We start from the raw sequence: 19,927 nt of genomic DNA on the forward strand, positions 1-19,927 counted from the left end.
GGGAGGCGGAGGTTGCGGTGAGCTGAGATTGTGCCATTGCACTCCAGCCTGGACATCAAGAGCAAAACTCCGTCTCAAAAAAAAAAATTAATAAATAAAAGTTTTCATATTTGATAGGGCTAGTCCCTCTCAATATTCATCTTTTATAGACTTTTCCTATTCTTCCTTTTTTTTTTTTTTTTGCTGTTCTATATGAACTTTAGAATTAATTTATCTAGGCCGGCCTGAGCAACCTGGCAAAACCCTGTCTCTACAAAAAATACAAAACAATTAGCCAGGCGTGGTGGCATATACCTGTAGTCCCAACTACTTGGGAGGCTGAGGCAGGAGGATCACTTAAGCCTGGGAGATGGAGGCTGCAATGTCCAAGACTGTGCCACCACACTCCAGCTTGGGCAACAGCGTGAAACTCTGTCTCAAAAAAGGAATTAATTGGCTGGGCGCTGTGGCTCACATCTGTAATGCCAGCACTTTGGGAGGACAAGGTGGGCAGATCATGAGGTCAGGAGTTCGAGACCAGTCTGACCAACATGGTGAAACCCCATCTCTACTAAAAATACAAAAATTAGCTGGGTGTGGTGGTGGGCGCCTGTAATCCCAGCCATTTGGGAGGCTGAGGCAGGAGAATCGCTTGAACTCGGGAGGCGGAGGTTGCAGTGGGCAGAGATTGCACCACTGCACTCCAGCCTGGGTGACAGAGCGAGACTCTGTCTCAAAAAAAAAAAAAAAAAAAAAAAGAATTAATTTATCTAGTTCAGAAAGAGACAACATATAAACACACAAGCACACACACTTTAAAGGCTCATCAGGTAGAATACACCCCAAACACCCAATACTCCCTTCTCTGCACGTGGCTGCACCAGCACCAACGGCCCAGTCCTGGAGGACATGGCTCACAAATGCTACAATGACAAGGAGTTGTAAGTGGAATACCCACCTACTGCTGCTGGTGCTGGGGAGAGAAAACTTACATTCTTTTTTTTTGAGGCAGTCTCGCTCTGTCGCCCAGGCTGGAGTGCAGTGGCGCAATCTCGGCTCACTGTAAGCTCTGCCACCCAGGTTCACGCCATTCTCCTGCCTCAGCCTCCCGAGTAGCTGGGACTACAGGTGCCCGCCACCACGCCCGGCTAATTTTTTGTATTTTTAGTAGACACGGGGTTTTACCGTGTTAGCCAGAATGGTCTCGATCTCCTGACCTCGTGATCCACCTGCCTTAGCCTCCCAAAATGCTGGGATTACAGGCGTGAGCCACCGTGTCCGGCTGGAAACTCATATTCTAAAAGTCAAACTGCTTGCTACATTTAACCTGAAACATATGATCATTCCTCATACCGGGGTAGTGCTGCTTTCTCACTGCCATAAAACAAATAGACGAGGTAGAAAGGCGCTAAAATGGGGTCCTAGTCCTATTTCGGATTCTCTCAGGTAGCTCTAACGATCGTAAATCATTTTAAGTTAGCTATCTCTCCAGGACAGGAGCCCGCTGGCTGGGCCCTGTGTCCAGCCCTTCCTCAACATTTCACCTTCTTCCAGAAAGCCAGGGTGATGCAGGCCAGTGTCCCGGCACACAAAAAGAGAAACTTTGGCTTGAATTACTTGGAGACATATATAATAATTTTTCGGTTTTTTTGTTTTGTTTTTTATTTTTTGAGATGTAGTTTTGCTCTTGTTGCCCAGGCTGGAGTGCAATGGTGCGATCTCAGCTCACCGCAACCTCTGCCTCCCAGGTTTAAGTGATTTTCTTGCCTCAGCTCCTGAGTAGCTGGGATTACAGGCATGCACCACCATGCCCAGCTAATTCTGTATTTTTAGTAGAGACAAGGTTTCTCCACGGTGGTTAGGCTGGTCTCAAACTCCTGACCTCAGGTGATCCTCCCACCTCGGCCTCCCAAAGTGCTGGGATTACAGGCGTGAGCCACCGTGCCTGGCTTAATGATTTTTCTTAATATAAAATGTTACTGGCTGGCCGTGGTAGCTCACGCCTGTAATCCCAGCACTTGGGAGGCTGAGGCAGCTGGATCACCTGAGGTCAGGAGTTTGAGACCAGCCTGGCCAATATGGTGAAACCCCATCTCTACTAAAAATACAAAAATTAGCTGGGCGTAGTGGTGTACGCCTGTAGTCCCAGGTACTCGGGAGGCTGAGGCAGGAAAATCGCTTGAGCCTGGGAGGCGGAGGTTGCGCTGGGCTGAGATCCCACCATTGCACTCCAGCCTGGATGACAAAGTGAGACCCTGTCTCAAAACAAAAACAAAACAAAATGTTACTATGTGAATATATCCTACCTCTTTTAATTCTTACCCCAGATTTGTTTAAAACCTGTGCTTTCCATCTCTGACAACCTATAAAATGGTGCCAAAAATTAAAGTCAAGGGAGTGACTCAGGAAAGTGTATTATTATAATTTAAAATATTTTAAAAACAAGTCTTGGAGCAGATGGCACGAAAGATATTGTTATCATTTTAAAAGCTTGCATGAGAAGAAACCCAATGTCCAACGGTGGAAGAATATGGGTAAAGAAAACGCAGCACAGTCGGCTCTCTGTATCCTAGGGTTCTGCATCTGTGGGTTCAATCGATCTCATATAGAAAATATTAAGAAATAATGCCAGGCACAGTGACTCATGCCTGTAATCCCAGCACTTTGCGAGGCCAAGGCAGGAGGGTTGCTTGAGCCCAGGAATTAGAGACCAGCCTGAGCAACTTAGAAGGCCCTGTCTCTTCAAAAAATACAAAAATTAACTGGGCATGGTGACACATGCCTGTGGTCCCCGCTACTCTGGAGGCTGAAGTGGGAGGATCCCTGAGCCTGGGAGGGTGAGGCTGTAGTGAGCCGTGATTATGCCACTGCACCCCAGCCTGGGTAACAGAGTGAGACCCTATCTTAAAACTAAATAAATAATAAAAAATAATACAAATTTTTAAAAAATATAGTACTACTATTTATAGAGCATTTACATTGTATTAGTTATTAAAAGTAATCTAGATATGATTTAAAGTATATGGGAAGATGTGCATAGATTAAGTGCAAATATATTTTATATCAGGGACTCGAGCATCCAAGGATTTTGGTATGTGGGGAGGGGGTCCTGGAACCAAAACAAAAGCATATATATTCAGAAGATAGACAGCAAGGAGAGTGTACATGCAATGTGACATTATTCAGCCATAAAAAGGAAGGAACTTCCGGCACAGGCTGCAGGTGGATGAACCTTGAGGAATTATGCACCATTTAATGCTGTAAATGTACTTAATGCCACTGAATTGCACATTTAAAAATGTTTAAAATCGTAAATTTTATATTATAAAAAAGGTAAAGAAGAAAAATAAAAGTTTTAATTTTACCTTCAAAAAAGTTTACATTGGATAAAAAGAATTACCTTTTTTTTTTTTTAAATTATACTTTAAGTTCTGGGACACATGTACAGAAAGTGCAGGTTTGTTACACAGGTATACACGTGCCATGGTGGTTTGCTGCACCCATCAACCCGTCATCTACATTAGGTATTTCTCCTAATACTATCCCTCCCCTAGCCCCCCAACCCCTGACAGGCGCCGGGTGTGTGATGTTCCCCTCCCTGTGTCCATGTGCTCTCATTGTTCAACTCCCACTTATGAGTGAGAACCATGCGGTGTTCGGTTTTCTGTTCCTGTGTTAGTTTGCTGAAAATGATGGTTTCCAGCTTCACCCGTGTCCCTGCAGAAGACATGAACCCATCCTTTTCTATGGCTGCACAGTATTCCATGTGCCACATTTTCTTCATCCAGTCTATCACTGATGGGCATCTGGGTTGGTTCCAAGTCTTTGCTATTGTGGACAGTGCTGCAATAAACATACGTGTGTATGTGTCTTTATAGTAGAATGATTTATAATCCTTTGGGTATATACCCAGTAATGGGATTGCTGGGTTAAATGGTATTTCTGGTTCTAGATCCTTGAGGAATCGCAACACTGTCTTCCACAATGGTTGAACTAATTTACACTCCCACCAACAGTGTAAAAGCGTTCCTATTTCTCCACATCCTCGCCAGCATCTGTTGTTTCCTGACTTTTTAATGATCGCCATTCTAACTGGCATGAGATGTTATCTCACTGTGGTTTTGATTTGCATTTCTTAAAGAATTACCTTTTCACTAAATACTAAAAAACAGATGTTTTCATAACTATGGGTTTCAGATACATGTTTTATTACATTGAAGTCAGACATTATTTTGAGGAAAGAAACTATTCAATACCATCTTAGGATCTTGCTGTGTACCAAGTATGGAAATTCTCTGGTTCAAAAATTAACTACTCTCTACAGTTAGAATGTTTAACCAATTCTACCAAGTTTTTCATATTCTAATCATAACATTTTTAAAAAAGTTAACAACCAATCCCTCCTTGTGGCATCTGTGAAATTAACTCTTGCTTCTTCCTCCCTTTACCACGCTGGCCACCTCCTCCTTCCTGCAGTTCTCTGCTCCCTGGATTCGGGGCTCTTGTCCCGCTTCTCTGATGGCAACGTTCCTGCCCCACCTTCCCCATCGCCCCCATGACACCCTCCAAGTACACTGTGTCCTCACCTCTCCTCCCATCCCCTGCGGGGCCCTTTCTCTGTCCCATGGGGCTCCCTCCAGAACTCAGCCAGTGTCTCAGCCTCTACCAGCTCCCTGCCACCAGGACATGGGGACTGACACAATTCTTTCTGATCTTGAAGATTCATGAGAGGCACGAAGCTACCAAGTGCTTTCATTTCAGGCTCTGGCTGCCCCGACGGCAGGTGAAAGCCCCGAACCACTGACCTTCCTTCTTTACCAGTGGGGCATTTCCAAACACCACCTCTGCTGAGGGTTACCTGGTGACTAGACATTCACGCACAGCCTTAGACATCACGCACCTGCCTTCTAAATCCTGCCTCTTATAGGCTGGGGGTAAGGATGTGAAGAAATACATTTAAAGTGGGAGCCGATTTCCAGCACTGCCAGTCTCTCAATGATCTGACTCTCAGTTGCAAGATATCAAATAAACTGTTCCCCCTTTGACCTAGCAATTCCGCTTTGGAAATTAATTAACTTTTTATTTAGAGACAGAGTCTCACCCTGTGGCCCAGGCTGGAGTGCAGTGGCACGATCTCAGCTCACTGCAACCTCCACCTCCCGGGTTCAAGTACTTCTCGTGTCTCAGCCTCTCGAGTAGCTGGGATTACAGGTGCACACCTCCACACCCAGCTAATTTTTTGTGTTTTAGTAGAGACAGCGTTTTGCCATGTTGGCCAGACTGGTCTCTAACTCCTGGGCTTAAGTGATCCAGCCTTCCAAAGTATAGGATTACAGGCGTGAGCCACTGCACCCAGCCACAGGAAATATATTTATAAGTAAACAAAACAAAAGCATATATGTTCATAGCAGCACTCTTTTTAACAGCCAGAAGCAATACAAACAGCAATTGGGAAAAGGCTAGAACTGCTAAACAGCCCCATGCGGTGGGAGACTACCCAGTTATGAGAAAGACAAATCAATAGAAAATAGGAAGACAGAGACCTCAGTGAAAATGTTCCTCAAGGACCTCACACCATTCCTTTGACTCATGCCTAAGAGACAAGAGAAGAGCTCTGTTCACTCAACAAATGACAAAGTTCAGCCTCTTTTCAGATAAACGCCCCAGCCCAAAGGCGGCCTCTGACTTCCAATCCAAATCTTTAGTCACTAGTTCCACCCCATTTCACAAAAGGAAGATGCATGGGTGTGACGGGAGGTTAAAGAGGAAGGGAAGCCACAATGACAGACAAATGCTATAATTCAAATCTCACTGACTTAAAAAGTATGTATATGTATATTTTTTTTTCAAAAAAAGAAATCCAGGCCAGGCGTGGTGGCTCACACCTGTAATCCTAGCACTTTGGGAGGCCGAGGAGGGCGGATCACCTGAGATCAGGAGTTCGAGACCAGCCTGGCCAACGTGGTGAAACCCCGTCTCTACTAAAAATACAAAAATTAGCCAGGCATGGTGGTGGGTGTCTGTAATCCCAGCTACTCGGGAGGCTGAGGCAGGAGAATCGCCTGACCCCGGGATGTGGAGGTTGCAGTGAGCGGAGATAGCACCATTGCACTCCAGCCTGTGCAACAAGAGTGAAATTCTGTCTCAAAAAAAAAAAAATCCAGCAAGTTTTTTTTAAAAAGCACCAGAAACACTGCTATGGTTTGAATGTTTGTCCCCTCCAAAACTCATGTTGAAATTTATTTGCCCTTGTAACAGTATTAAGAGGTGAGAACTTGAAGAAGTGATTAGGCCGTGAGGGCCCCACCCTCTTGGATGGGCTTCATGCCTTCTTAAAAGGGCTTTCCGGCCAGGTGCAGTGGCTCACACCTGTAATCCTAGCACTTTGGGAGGCCGAGGCAGGAGGATTGCTTGAGCTCAGGAGTTTGAGACCAGCCTGGGCAACATAGTGAAACCGCATCTCTACTAAAAATAGAAAAAAGAAAAAAATTAGTCATGTGTGGTGGTGCACAGCTGAGTCCCAGCTACCAGGAGGGCTGAGGTGGGAGAACAGCTTGAGCCCAGGAGATCAAGGCTGCACTGAACTATGACCACACCACTGCACTCCAGCCTAGGCGACACAGTGTGACCCTGTCTCCAAAAAAAAAGAAAAAAAAACCCAAGGAGGGGTGGGGGCAGGGGGCTTTTGGCAGGGCTTCTTTCTCTCCCCTTGACCTCTTGCCCTCCACCATGGGATGATGCAGTAAGAGGGCCCTTGCCAGATGCTGGCACCTTGATCTTGGTTTCCAGCCTCCAGCATAGTGAGCAAATACGTTTCTATTCATTATAAATTACCCAACCTGTGGTGTTCTGTTACAGCAGCACAAAACAGACTAAGACAAACACCGTCTAATGCTCTTGGAGGGTCAAACTGCCAAACAGCAGCCCACCACTGGACAATCCACAGGTGGTCTCCACAAAAAGCAGAGAGAACAGGGGTGGAACAGGTGCTGACCATGGACGCCGGTGACAGGTGCATGGGTTCATATGCTCTTCTCTCTACTTCATGTATGTTAGAACATTTCCACTGTAACACATGCTGGTAAAAGCAGTGGTAACTGGCAAAGTATCACAAGACTACATCTCGTCTACATCAAAATTAGGTCAGCTTTACTTAAATTCCTTCATCAGATTCAGGAAAAGGAAATAGCCAGTCATCCTAACTAACACACAAATGAATAGACTGTCTTGTATGCTAAACCACAGTGAATTGTGAAAATGGGCAAAAATGTCCAGAGAGAATGGTGATTAGAGGAAGCACCCGCAATGGAGAAAGCCGACACAAGACAGCATGTGGGGCAAAGAGTGACAGCGTTTCATCAGAATGGCTTCTTTAGGAAAAGTCTTCCTCACCAGCAGTTAAAGTCAAAGGACCCACCAAAGCCCTTCCGGTAGAAGTGATGTGCGGGGCACTGGCCCCCAGCCAACAGGGAGAGCCCGAGGAGGCGCCTCCAATGTCCCACCTGCCTGTACAACCTCATCCACTGTGTCTTCCCAAAGCTTGCCAGGCACCACACTCCAGGTGTGGGCCAGACTCCAGTGGGGCCCTCAGCCTGCACGGGAAAGAGACTTCTGCTACCCGCCACAAGTGCGCAGGCCATTCCCACCTGGCAGGGGTACTTGCCCAGAGATAGCTGAAGTCAGAGCTGTGGGAGTGGCCCTGCCCCTGAAGGTCTGTGCAACCTCAAGATGTGATCACCTTAACCTCTTGACTCTTCTGCAAGATGGGGACACATCCAATGAACCTGAGTGGAGGGCCACCTTACAAAATCAAAGTCCTACAATCCTTGACAGTGTCAAGGACATGAGACAGGGAACTACTGAAGACTGAAGGAGACCGAGGAGACAACAGGACTCTGGAAGGGGTTCTAGAACAGAAAAGAAAGAGGCGCTCGGGGACAGGGACAACACCTGGGGTTGACGTCCATGTCACCCACACCAGCGCACTGCATCAATGTCCGGTTCCTGACTGGGAGGGCTGTGCGGGCCTCGAGAGCCAGTGACCTTGCTCTGAAGGCACGCGTGGCGTGTGCAGAGAGGGGAGGCGGCCTGGTGGGAAAAGTCTAGAACAGAGAGAAGATGATGGCCCAACGCAGCCAACAATGGCCACGAGGAAACCCAGGGTGGCTGCAGGAGATCTTTGTACTATTCTTGTCATTTTTCTGTAGATCTCAAATCGCTTCAAATAATTTTTTAATATGGAATAAAATGTGTTAAAAAAAGCACAATAAGGTCTGCTCTGCGCAGCACACAGGGTTGTTCTGAGACTGAAATACTAATAGATACAAAAAGTACTTTTTAAACTATCAAGACACAGACATGAAAGGCATCATTAGCACAAATATGAATACGTCCAATCAGTGGGTCTGGTTCCCTCAGTAAAGAGAAAGTCAAGTCATTTCCCTTGGAGGCCGAGGGGCCAGGGGAGGGAGTAAGATTGGAGCCAGGAGACGACCACAGAAGGAGGTAACGACACGAGGCCACAGAAAAGCCTTCAGCGATCACAATACGATAGATGTTAACTTCCTTTACTAGGGCACCAAAGAAACCCTGCTAACCCAGCACTGTTTCATGTCTCAGATTACACCCACTGGCCACACATGGACAATAAGATGTGAGAACTACTTGTAAAATGCAAACAAGAACCACTTTCTTTTTTCTTTTTTTTTTTGAGACAGAGTCTCCATGACCCAGGTTGGAGTGCAGTGGCACAATCTCCGCTCATTGCAACCTTCGCCCCCCCAGGGTCAAGCGATTCTCCTGCCTGAGCCTCCTGAGGAGCTGGGATTACAGGAGCCCGCCACCACACCTGACTAATTTTTGTATTTTTAGTACAGACAAGGTTTCACCATGTTTGTCAGGCTGGCCTCAAACTCCTGACCTCAAGTGATCCACCTGTCTTGGCCTCCCAAAGTGCTGGGATTACAGGCGTAAGCTACCACGCCCGGCCAAGAACCACTTTCAGGAAGGGCTCAGAACACTAATCAATGGCATTATCAATAGATGTAACTCTTCTCCACTTACCTCATTGGCTCTTTTGATGATTTTATCATCTACATCTGTAATACCCATCACCATGACTATGCTGCATCCAAAAACCTTGGTTAGGATCCTTCGAATGATATCAAATCTAACATATGAGCTGAAAGAAAAAAAGTGTCAGGATGTCTTTATTACACAAAGTCATCAGTTATCTTTGTAAAAAATCCATTACATTTTAACATGCTGCTCCATAACTTCTACTGTGTAGCACAATGGACAGGTCAGCGGAGCAGGTACAAGGAAACTCCCTCTCACTGATGGCACCAGGGCCTGCGCCACAAGGGTTCTCAGGAGAAACTGACAAAGGTATTGCATCAATTTCAGGACACAATATTAGCATTTTTAATTTTGGAGTTGTTGCTTAAGTGAGTTGAAGTCTATTTAATTGTATAAAAATTCACTCATAATACAATCTCTCAGTTAAGATCGTGTTTTCACCATTCTTGTTCATGTTCTAGAGTAATTCTAATTTTTCACTATGACAAAACAGAAGCAAATACCAAATCAAAACAAGTACGATCCCATTAAAGCCATATAAGATTACTCCTAAGAATGCACACACTAGTGTAGAATATTTAAAAATGCCAGCTTATTTATATACTACACTGGGGTAATTCAGACTTGTAAAACTAAAAGGGTTTAAAATCTACTTAGCATCTCAAGAATCTGTTTTCCCATAAAAGTTACCTTAAAACTCAAGGTTATCTAATGTCACACTCACCTCTGCTATCCATGTGGCCTAAATTTCAGTTCGTAAAATTGTTTTCTCTTAGGGTGGTGTGGGGGAATCCTAGCCATGTTATTGTATCACTTTAACCTCCCACACACCCCCTCCCTCTCCAAACACAGCTGAGACCAAATCTTGATTCCAGGGACAAAACTATCTCCAAAACTCAACAAGATAATTAACCTCTTACAGCTCAGTCGGCTTGCTTATAAATTTGGCAAAATCCCACCACCTAACAGGACTGCTGTCCAGCCTTACCGCCTGTGCAGCATGAATTCTAAAAACACAAGCTATTATTACCATTCTCATCACCATGCTCCTTCATTCACCTCAAGTTGGGAAAGAGTCTAAAAGATGTGAGATTTACAAGAAAAAAATTACAGGAACCTAAAGCAAATGAAAACAAGAGTCAAGTCCCTTGCTTGGCCCAGAGGAGCCCAGGCTGAGTCCCGGAACTGCCCTTGGAGACAGCAGAGGCTCCACAGCTTGGCAGAGCTGGCGGAATGCAGGGTCATGAGCAATTTGAGACCCTGAGACGCTGCAGGCAGGCTGTGACCACAGGGGCCACTCTATACACAAACACGCACACACACGCCTTGCAAGTGCCGGGCAGCCAAGTCTGAAGAACATGGCATCAGGAGACCTCAGCTTGCTTCTGTGACTCCACCATGAACCATGCTACCGTCAGCCCGGCTCTTTCTGCCCCATTTTCTCCATCCACTGGGTGAGTGTGCTCATCTGGGTGATCGCTGAAATGATTCATTTGCTAAGAGTCTTCCCTCAAAACGCTCCAGTGTGACTCCGTCTACCATGGCATGAAATCCAAACTCTCTGGGCCAGACCACGCAGCACCCTCCCCAGTCTGGCTGCAACTGACGCCCCATCCCTTCCCCTGCTCCTCCCCCCTAGCACCAAACTGATCTATTTGTTTTCCCCAAACAGGGTTTCCATCCCTCTGACCTCTTCTGGAAATGGTGGAGGCTATTTTTCAGGGTGTCTCTTTCCAGTGAACTGAGTGCTACCCATTGCTCAAATTCTACCTTTCTGCAGCAGGCACTGTGTGCATCCCTGTCCTGCTGGAGCTGAAATAATTACATCATGCTAACGACATCAGATGGTTGCATAAATAACCACTGAAGGAGTACAATGCTAGGAGAGCTGAGATGGGGAGAGGGAGGTGGGGCAGGCCAGCCCAGCAAAGGCCTGGAGGGGTTGGCCAGGCTGACAGGAAGGTGGTCAACAGGAGAGTCCCAAGCTCCCACCAGCCCCTGGGAAGGCCCTGTGTGGACACAGCTTATAACATGCATTCAGCTGCGCACTTAAGATGTGTATTCTTTTCTGTAGTCATAAAGGTAAATATTATACAAATTTAAACTGCAAGACTTGACTCTCCTAGTTGGAAATGAGAAGAGATTCTCTCCCCAACAACTTTTAGGATTTCTTCCTCAGTCCTCTTCAAATGCATGTCAATCTTTTAAATGGCTAAATAAACCTCTTGGCAGTTTTACAACTCAAGAAAATTTCAAAACCTGGGACCCACCTCTGAAATGTAATCAAGGAAAATAACGCCCCGTTTCCCAGTGTCCTGGGAGGAGATGGGCCTACCTTGTCATCTGACTCCACACTGTAACTCACCTGAAGCAATGGGTTATGCTATGGTCTGAATGTTTGTCTTCCCTCCAAATTCATGGTTGAAACCCTAACTCCCAAGGTGACGGTTTTAGGAGGTGGAGCCTCTGGGAGTGACAAAGTCATGGAGGCAGAGAGCTCATGACTGGGGTTAATGCCCTCATAGAAGAGACCTCAGAGAATTCCCTCTACCTTCTACCATGTGAGGACACAGCAGGCAGACCCTCAACAGACACCAAATTTGCTGGTGCCTTCATCTTGGACTTCCTAGCCCCAGAAAGAAAGAAATTTCTGTTGTTTATAAGTCATCCATTTTAGGATATTTTGTTACAGCAGACTCATAGACTGAGACAGGCTGTATCCCCAAAGCTCCATAGAAGGATGAGATTTCTTTCTGTCTTTGCAGTTATTTTAGCTCATCCCCTTCTGGTTTAAGGCTTATTCAGTAACAGAACTGTTTTCTTTCTCTTCTACCTTTGTGGAAAGGTTTTCCAGGGTGGGGGTTTTGTTTTTAATATTTCCCCAACATATTTTATAATTCAAGAAAGATGTCGAAATATGCTTTTGATAATTAAAAGTATGTTAGCCCAAAGTAAAGGGGAAAAATGTATATTTAAAGTATACAGAGTATGCCGGGCATGGTGGTTCATGCCTGTAATCCCAACACTTTGGGAGGCCAAGGCAGGTGGATCATTTGAGGTCAGGAGTTCGAGACCAGCCTGGCTGACATGGTGAAACTCCGTCTCTACTAAAAATACAAAAATTAGCCGGGCGTGGTGGTACATGCCTGTAATCCCAGCTACTCCGGAGGCTGAGGCAGGAGAATTGCTGCCAGGAGGCGGCAACTGGACCTGGGAGGCAGAGGTTGCAGTGAGCCGAGATTGCACCACTGCACTCCAGCCTGGGCGACAGAGCGACTCCGTCTCAAGAAAAAAAAAAAGTATACAGAGTAAATGTAACTTTTTACTTTTAGTCTAGGACTGAACAATACTAAGTTTTAAAAAATCTATAATATGTCATTTTTGTACATTATATTTTGGAAATGTACAAAATATTAGGAAAAGTGGTAATTTTGGCAAATGTAGGAGGCAGTACATCTTACAGTTAAAGAGGTCAAGAGAGCAACCACTTCGCAGTCAGAGAAACCAAGCCTCACCCCAGTTCCAATACCTCTTCAATGTGTCATCTTAGGAAAGTTACTCAATCACTATTGAGCCCCGTGACATCTCACATGTGAGGTACAGTGTTAAGCAGCATTTTATGGGCATTATTTACTAAAATTGTTATAAGATCCAAGTTATCATTCCCATCTCAAAGATGAAGAAACCAGGACTCAAAGCAATAAAGTGACCTGCTCAGTGCTGTGAAGCTAAGAAGTGGTGGGGCCCAGGAATGACTGATCAGCAGGACCCCGGGACCCCGCAAAGGCCTCTTGATGTCACTAAACCCAGCAAAAAACATCTAGTTCCAAAACGGGTCATTTTTCAGTGCTCCATTGTCTCCCTGAGTTTCCTCACCTGTAAAACGGGTGTAAGTGCTCAGAATCCCTATAAGAACCAAATGAGGTTGTAACATTTCCCACAATGCCTGGAATGTAGGAATTATTCTGCATCCCTAAGTTGCCACTTAAGAGATAAAAGAAATCAGCAAAAGGCTTTCAAAAATAAATGGTCCTTTGAAGTATGAAAATTCAAATCCAGGAAACTCACCAAGCATGGCCAAGGTGCGCATGATCATATACAGTTGGTCCACAGCTATACCTGGAAACAAAGTTAAAATCCATCGTGTGGAACATATTTGCAAGAAAGGACATTCGATTCTGAGTTATAATGATCATATAATTTTTAAAGTAATCACTTCTGGGGGATGAATAGCCGGGGTTTTCATACTTGCTCAATTCACACCCAAACCTGCAAAAGCACCGCGCACCCCCAGCTTCTAGAACGGCGCCCTCCATGCAGCTTCCTAAACGCCCTCCCCGAGCCCAGATCCCGTTCAGCCGTGGGAAGTCTCCGCCACGATCGGCCCCCGCCCGTGCCCCAGTCCCGCGCGGCCCACCAGGAGGCGGCTTCGGCGTGCGCCACGATTAGGGGTTCCTTCCTCCCGGTGAGGCTGTTGTACACCTGCACACCCGTCTCCCGGCCCGTGGGCTGCAGCCAGGCCCGCCCGCGCCCCCCGCTCGCCGCCCGGCCCGCAGGCCAGTGCCACCCAGCCCGCCCAAGGCCCAGCGCGGCCTGGAGCAGCGGGGGGCCCAGGCCTGGGCCGCGCGTAGTCCTCAACATGTCAGCGGCCAGCGCCTACGACTGGGCGGAGACGGGAGCCACGCCGGGTACGCTGCCGGTCGCTCAAGAGCAGCACGGCCCCGCCCCGCCCCGCCCACGCCCTTGGGGCCACGCCCACTCCCGGAAGCAGTCCTCAGGTAGCGCCTCCCTTTGGCCTGGCTCGAGTCGCCCGCGGCAAGGGTGGAGAACCAGGGCCCGAAGAGGTTGGGGCGGGGAAGGCCCGGGGTGGAGGGAGGAGGGCGGTGCCGCGCCGGGAGGCCGTGGGAAGAGGCGGTACCGTGCCGATCTCCTCTCCTTATTAGCCCAGGTCCTGCGAGGCGTCCGTGTGCGCGCGGTACCAGCCTGGAGCTGTGTCCGCCGCGCGGGAGGAGCGTTTACAGTGCAAGCTTCTGTTGCCGGGCCCTGGCCTGTTAGCGAAGCACGTGTGCATCCCAGCACAGCCCACGTCAGCACGCTAATACACAGTGTCCACCCCAGAACACACGTCAGCACCCCAATACAGTGTGCACCCCAATACAGTGTGCACCCCAAACACACATCTGCGCCCCAATACAGTGTGCACTGCAGCACACCGTTAGCATCCCAACACAGTGCACCCCGATACACAATGTGCAACCCAACACACAGTCTGCACCCCAAGAAGTGTGCACCCCAATACACAGTATGCACCCCAGCACACACATCAGCATCCCAATACAGTGTGCACCCCAATACAGTGTGCACCCCAGCACACACATCTGCACCCCAATAGTGTGCACTGCAGCACACCATCAGCATCCCAACACAGTGCACCCCGATACACAGTGTGCAACCCAGCATACAGTCTGCACCCCAATACACAGTATGCACCCTAGCACACACCACATCAGCATCCCAATACAGTGTGCACTCCAATACAGTGTGCACCCCAGCACACACCATGTCTGCACCCCAGTACAGTGTACACCCCAATACAGTGTGCACCCCTAATACACTGTGCACTCTAACACACACCATGTCTGCACCCCAGTACAGTGTGCACCCCAACACAGCACATGTGCATCCCAGCAAACACTGTCTGCATTCCAATGCAATGTGCACCTCAATAGAGTGTGCGCCCCCACACATCTACACCCCAATACAGTGTGCACCCCAATACACAGTGTGCAACCCAACACACACCATGTCTGCACTCCAATACACAGCATGCCTCCCCCACCATGATCCCGTATCTTGAGAACAAAAACATTCTGAAAGTTACTCACAATAGCTTGACAAACGTGCCTCTATTGGGCCAGGCGCAGTGGCTCACACCTGTAATCCCAGCACTTTGGGAGGCTGAGGCGGATGGATCACCTGAGGTCAGGAGTTCGAGACCAGCCTGACCAATATGGTGAAACCCCGTCTCTACTAAAAATACACAAATTAGCCGGGCGTGGTGGCGTGCATCTGTAGTCCCAGCTACTGGGGAGGCTGAGACAAGAGAATCGCTTGAACCCAGGAGGCAGAGCTCACAGTGAGCTGAGGTCACACCACTGCACTGCAGCCTGGGCAACAGAGGGAGACTCCGCCTGAAAAAAAAAAAAAGTGCCTCTATTGGTGTCTTGCAATACGATGTCTCAAAAAAAAGAAAAAGTCCCCTTTGCTTTTCCAGTTCTCAAAACAGGAGACGTTCCTCTGGTTTTTTGTTGTTGTTTTTAGTTTGCTTTGGTGTTTTATTAAAAAGCAAAGGTTTAAGTAGAGACAAACAAGTGTGTACCTAGAGTAGTTTCTCAATATCCTGGAGTCCAACTCTGCAATTCTGTTTCAAGCTAACTGTAGTCTAATGTAATCTATTGTCTAATTTAATAAGGTTAAAATGTTAGAATTAGGAGACCCTATAGCCTACATCAATGCTAACCACTCATGTTACCTAACTACTCTAAATTCTCCTGAATATTATCACTTCTTGCCTGCCTTATGTTATTTTGTAACTTTCCAGTGCTGTGTGTATATTTATCTCCCTGAGTATCTTAAATTGTACATTATTTTGAACTTCTCACTGTGCCCTGCACTAAATTCAGAAAAGGACTTGGGTTTTGTTTGTTTTGTTTTGCTGTGGCTGGAAAAAAAAAATTTAGAAGAAATAAAAGGGCTTGTTGAATGTTGATGAATTAATCCCTTACGAAAGGGATTAATTGTGCAGGTGGGAAGAAATCTGGGTAGTAAAATACCTGATAAAGCTGATTCAGATATTAGATGTGCCAGTAAATAAAGCAAATTAACAAAAAGCTCAGTTGCAATCTGTGAGAACACACGAATTCAAGGAAATAACTGGAGCAGAGATTCTGAAAGCAGCTTAGTAACACTGAAGATCAAATCTGCACATGAATCTGGACATGCGGTATATTTGAATTGTTCATAGAACATCACAACTTTTAAATTAACAATAGTATCTTCTGTCTTCAGAAAATTCATGTAATGTTTTTAGCCCCTCACTGGCAGTGATTCTATTATGTTTTCTTTTTTTTTTTTGAGGCAGTCTTGCTCTGTCACCCAGGCTGGAGTGCAGTGGCCTGATCTGGGTTCACTGCAGCCTCTGCCTCCTGGTTCAAGCAATCCTCCTGCTTCAGCCTCCACAGTAGCTGAGATTACAAGTGCACACCACCGTGCCCAGCTAATTTTTGCATTTTTATTTTTATTTTTATGTATTTATTTTTGAGACAGAGTCTCACTCTATCACCCAGGCTGGAGTGCAGTGGCACGATCTCGGCTCACTGCAACCTCCACCTCCCAGATTCAAGTGATTCTTCTGCCTCAGCCTCCCGAGTAGCTGGGATTACAGGTGCGTGCCACCACGCTCAGCTAATTTTTGTATTTTTAGTAGAGATGGGGTTTCATCATGTTGGCCAGGCTGGTCTGGGACTCTGGAACTCCTGACCTCAAGTGATCCAGCCACCTCAGCCTCCCAAAGCGGTGGGAATACCGGCCTAAGCCACCACACCTGGCCAATTCTCTTTTCTCTTTTTTCTTTTTTTTTTTTTTGAGATGGAGTTTCACTCTTGTTGCCCAGGCTGGAGTGCAATGGCGTGATCTCCTGGGTTCAAGCGATTCTCCTGCCTCTTTCTCACGTCTCCCGGGTTCAAGCAATTCTCCTGCTTGTCTCCTGAGTAGCTGGGATTACAGGCATGTGCCACCATGCCCAGCTAATTTTGTATTTTTAGTACAGATGGGGTTTCTCCATGTTAGTCAGGCTGGTCTTGAACTCCCGACCCCAGGTGATCCGCCCACCTCGGTCTCTGAAAGTGCTGGGATTACAGGCATGAGCCACCGTGCCCGGCAGCTAATTCTGTTTTCTTAAGGCTTTTGCGGATCATCAAAACAAGGAGAAACATAGCTCATTACCTAATGATGGTTAGAAATGTGATCTTTTTGCATATTGAATATCTGCAGGTTGAATATTAAGGTAAAGTAAAATAGACTGCTAATGCTCTTCATTACTATACCTCCCAGCCTACATCTTTCTCCTGTGCTGGGTGCTTCCTGCCCTCGAACATCAGACTCCAAGTTCTTCAGTTTTGGGACTCAGACTGGCTCTCCTTGCTCCTCAGCTTGCGGACAGTCTATTGTGGGACCTTGTGATTATGTAAGTTAGTACTTAATAAACATATATATGTATATACATTATATATATCTATATCTCCATCCTATTAGTTCTGTCCCTCTAGAGAACCCTGACTAATACACCATATATACATAAAAAGAGGATCCATTTAATTGAAGTCACCTCCCTCTCCAATCTAGGTCAGAACGAGGAAGTGTGTTAAAGTTAATGATTCCAAAATATCACTAATGCCATTTCTCAGTCCTTAATGACAACAATAACAAAATCAAGTTCTCAGTATTACATTTTCTTTCAAGGCAAAATCTTGTAAATCAGAAGTAGAGTTGATTACGGTAGCATATGGTTTAGGGGTTTTCAAGTTTAAGATGAATGAGTTTGCATTTATTTTTTAAGCACTTTGAAACTTAAACAATTCTATGCTTGGCCAGGCGCGGTGGTTCACGCCTGTAATCCCAGCACTTTGGGAGGCCAAGACAGGCGGATCACCTGAGGTCAGGAGTTCGAGACCAGCCTGGGCCAACATGACAAAACTCCGTCTCTACTAAAAATACAAAAATTAGTTGGGCATGGCGTCCGGCACCCGTAATCCCAGCTACTCAGGAGGCTGAGGCAGGAGAATCGCTTGAACCCGGGAGGCGGAGGTTGCAGTGAGCTGAGATCACGCCACTGCACTCCAGTCTGGGTGACAAGAGCAAGACTCCGTCTCAAAAAAAGAAAAAGAATTATATGTTCATCTCTTATATCTGACTCTCATAGGTTTGAGCATTTTCAGTTAGACTGGAAATATAATTTTAGAAAAAAGTTTAATTTTAAATGTTTCTTTTTAATCCATTTGAAATTTCTGTTCTACGGAAAAGTTTTAACATCCATTTTTGCAACACGCCACAGGAAACAAAACTGAAAGAGACAAGATTCTTCAACGTATCTTCAAAATTAAGCACCTTTCTTCAATGACATTTAAAATTCGTTATCAAAGGTAATTATGTTTTATTGCTTGATCTTCTAAGTTTGTTCCAAAAAAGATAAAATCTTTTTTGACTTTTTATCCCAAGGGGTGGGCTAAAAGTTTTATGGAATGTAAAGCTCCAAAAAACTTTTCACTACTGTATCCCCAGCGCACGGACCAGTAGTTGGCACATGGTAGACACTCGTCAATATTCCTTGTTGAATGCTTAAGATGCCTTTTTGGTTTATGTGTATGTGAAGAGAGTACATAACTAGAGGAACAAAATCATTACTCAGATTGTACTGTGTTGTGATTTTTTTTTTTAAAAAGAAAACCTAGGTTAAACTCCATCTTATCTTTGTAAAGGGTAAATTACTTCCAATTTTATTCTTGAGTTCAGATAAACACTATTCATTCTAGAGCCAATGAATGCTAGGAATAGAAGAACCGGTCTATTTCTTACTATTGTACTTTTAAATTACTTATATGCTTTTTGAGGGAAAGGCGTAATTTTCCTTATTCAACTTTGTACTCCCTCTATACTCTGTATTCGACATAATGTTTGTTTCCACATAATGTTATCTTGTCGTAGTCTTTTTTTCTCTTTTTTTCCGGAGATAGTCTTGCTCTGTCGCCCAGGCTGGAGTGCAGTGGCACAATCTCGGCTCACTGCAACCTCCCCTCCTAGGTTCAAGTGATTCTGTCTCAGCCTCCCCAATAGCTGGGACTACAGGCACGCGCCACCATGCCCTGCTAATTTTTTGTATTTTTAGTAGAGACAGGGTTTCACCATGTTGCCCAAGCTGGTCCCGAACTCCTGATCTCAGGCAATTCGCCCGCCTCGGCCTCCCAAAGTGGTAGGATTACAGGCGTGAGCCACCGCGTCCGGCCAAGTGTTATAGTCTTTTGTGCAGACCAAGTAGTGGCCAATAAATCTTGTAGAAACTAAAGTACTCATTTGCTTTTAACTAGGCCAAGACTAGAATAGCGTGATCTGTAAGTAAAATAACAGCCATTTCCCCAAATATCAAAGCCAAAGCTCTCCTGCTGTGTAGGTGAGATGAAGGGGCTTAAAAGTGAAGATTAAATCCACTTCAAAGTGTAAAGAGTATCCATCCATTTATCATTGCAGCAACGTTGCAACGTGAACAATCCGATTCCAAATACAAAACAGCTTAATTCAGTCTCTTTGCCGTACTCACATCCATAGCACAAAATACCCGGCAGGGCCCTGGAATGAGCACCACTGCGGTTAATAATCTACTCTATAAATACTGGACGAATCCAAATTTTTACTGGATTACACAGAATACGTTTTTAAAAAATCCAAAGAGTTTTAGATGTTACAACAGGGTTCCATCAAATACCACGTTTCCAAATCTTACCACCAGAATGTGTATCCATTTCAACTGCAATTATTTTGTGTCTAAAACTGTGTACTCTGCTTTGCAACAGGATAAACCCGGTGGATAAAAGCTGAAATCCGACCCTGTCCTAATTAAGAGGCTAAGAAAAATGGAGAACCGCGCTGGCGTGGAGTTGATACAGAAACACTGCAAGGGCTGGGGACAGGGCTTAGTTCGTGGAATACACAGGCAGCACCACCAACCCGGCTCTCCGGAAAAGAGAAAGTCCAGTGAGAAAGGTGAAAACTGACAAGGCACCGTTCTCCGACTTGCTGAAAAAAAGACAATGCAAAT

General features: G+C 45.8%; 1 protein-coding gene across 15 annotated transcripts in view, besides 5 other annotated features; it reads right to left on the minus strand.

The window, feature by feature from the left end:
* CARS2 (cysteinyl-tRNA synthetase 2, mitochondrial) overlaps positions 1 to 19,927 on the minus strand; it is a 72,113-nt gene that overhangs the window by 50,986 nt on the left and 1,200 nt on the right. For 10 of the 15 annotated variants that reach the window (NR_147942.2, XR_001749667.3, XR_007063696.1 and 7 more), the window contains exons 1-3: positions 13,475 to 13,721; positions 13,126 to 13,176; positions 9,043 to 9,160 (exon numbers count right to left, since the gene is read on the minus strand). Coding sequence is in view for 9 of the 15 variants with exons in the window: in NM_024537.4 (NP_078813.1) it covers positions 9,043 to 9,160; positions 13,126 to 13,176; positions 13,475 to 13,698 (393 nt within the window). In the remaining 6 variants the exon portion in view is untranslated. Of the gene's footprint in view, positions 1 to 5,522; positions 5,573 to 9,042; positions 9,161 to 13,125; positions 13,177 to 13,474; positions 13,722 to 13,975; positions 14,121 to 19,927 lie in introns of those variants that run through there. The other 5 variants (NR_147941.1, NM_001352252.2, XM_006719953.4 and 2 more) reach the window with 5 other exon arrangements.
* Positions 6,308 to 6,467: an enhancer, noted in NCBI's record as "active region_8008". NCBI's record gives its function as "activates an Ori minimal core promoter by ATAC-STARR-seq in GM12878 lymphoblastoid cells {active_cell/tissue: GM12878}" and the evidence as "EXISTENCE:reporter gene assay evidence [ECO:0000049][PMID:35858748]".
* Positions 13,529 to 14,088: a silencer, noted in NCBI's record as "silent region_5509". NCBI's record gives its function as "represses an Ori minimal core promoter by ATAC-STARR-seq in GM12878 lymphoblastoid cells {active_cell/tissue: GM12878}" and the evidence as "EXISTENCE:reporter gene assay evidence [ECO:0000049][PMID:35858748]".
* Positions 14,139 to 14,518: an enhancer, noted in NCBI's record as "active region_8009". NCBI's record gives its function as "activates an Ori minimal core promoter by ATAC-STARR-seq in GM12878 lymphoblastoid cells {active_cell/tissue: GM12878}" and the evidence as "EXISTENCE:reporter gene assay evidence [ECO:0000049][PMID:35858748]".
* Positions 14,529 to 14,648: an enhancer, noted in NCBI's record as "active region_8010". NCBI's record gives its function as "activates an Ori minimal core promoter by ATAC-STARR-seq in GM12878 lymphoblastoid cells {active_cell/tissue: GM12878}" and the evidence as "EXISTENCE:reporter gene assay evidence [ECO:0000049][PMID:35858748]".
* Positions 19,732 to 19,821: an enhancer, noted in NCBI's record as "active region_8011". NCBI's record gives its function as "activates an Ori minimal core promoter by ATAC-STARR-seq in GM12878 lymphoblastoid cells {active_cell/tissue: GM12878}" and the evidence as "EXISTENCE:reporter gene assay evidence [ECO:0000049][PMID:35858748]".

Source organism: Homo sapiens, chromosome 13, assembly GCF_000001405.40.
Source record: "Homo sapiens chromosome 13, GRCh38.p14 Primary Assembly".
NCBI lineage: Eukaryota > Metazoa > Chordata > Mammalia > Primates > Hominidae > Homo > Homo sapiens.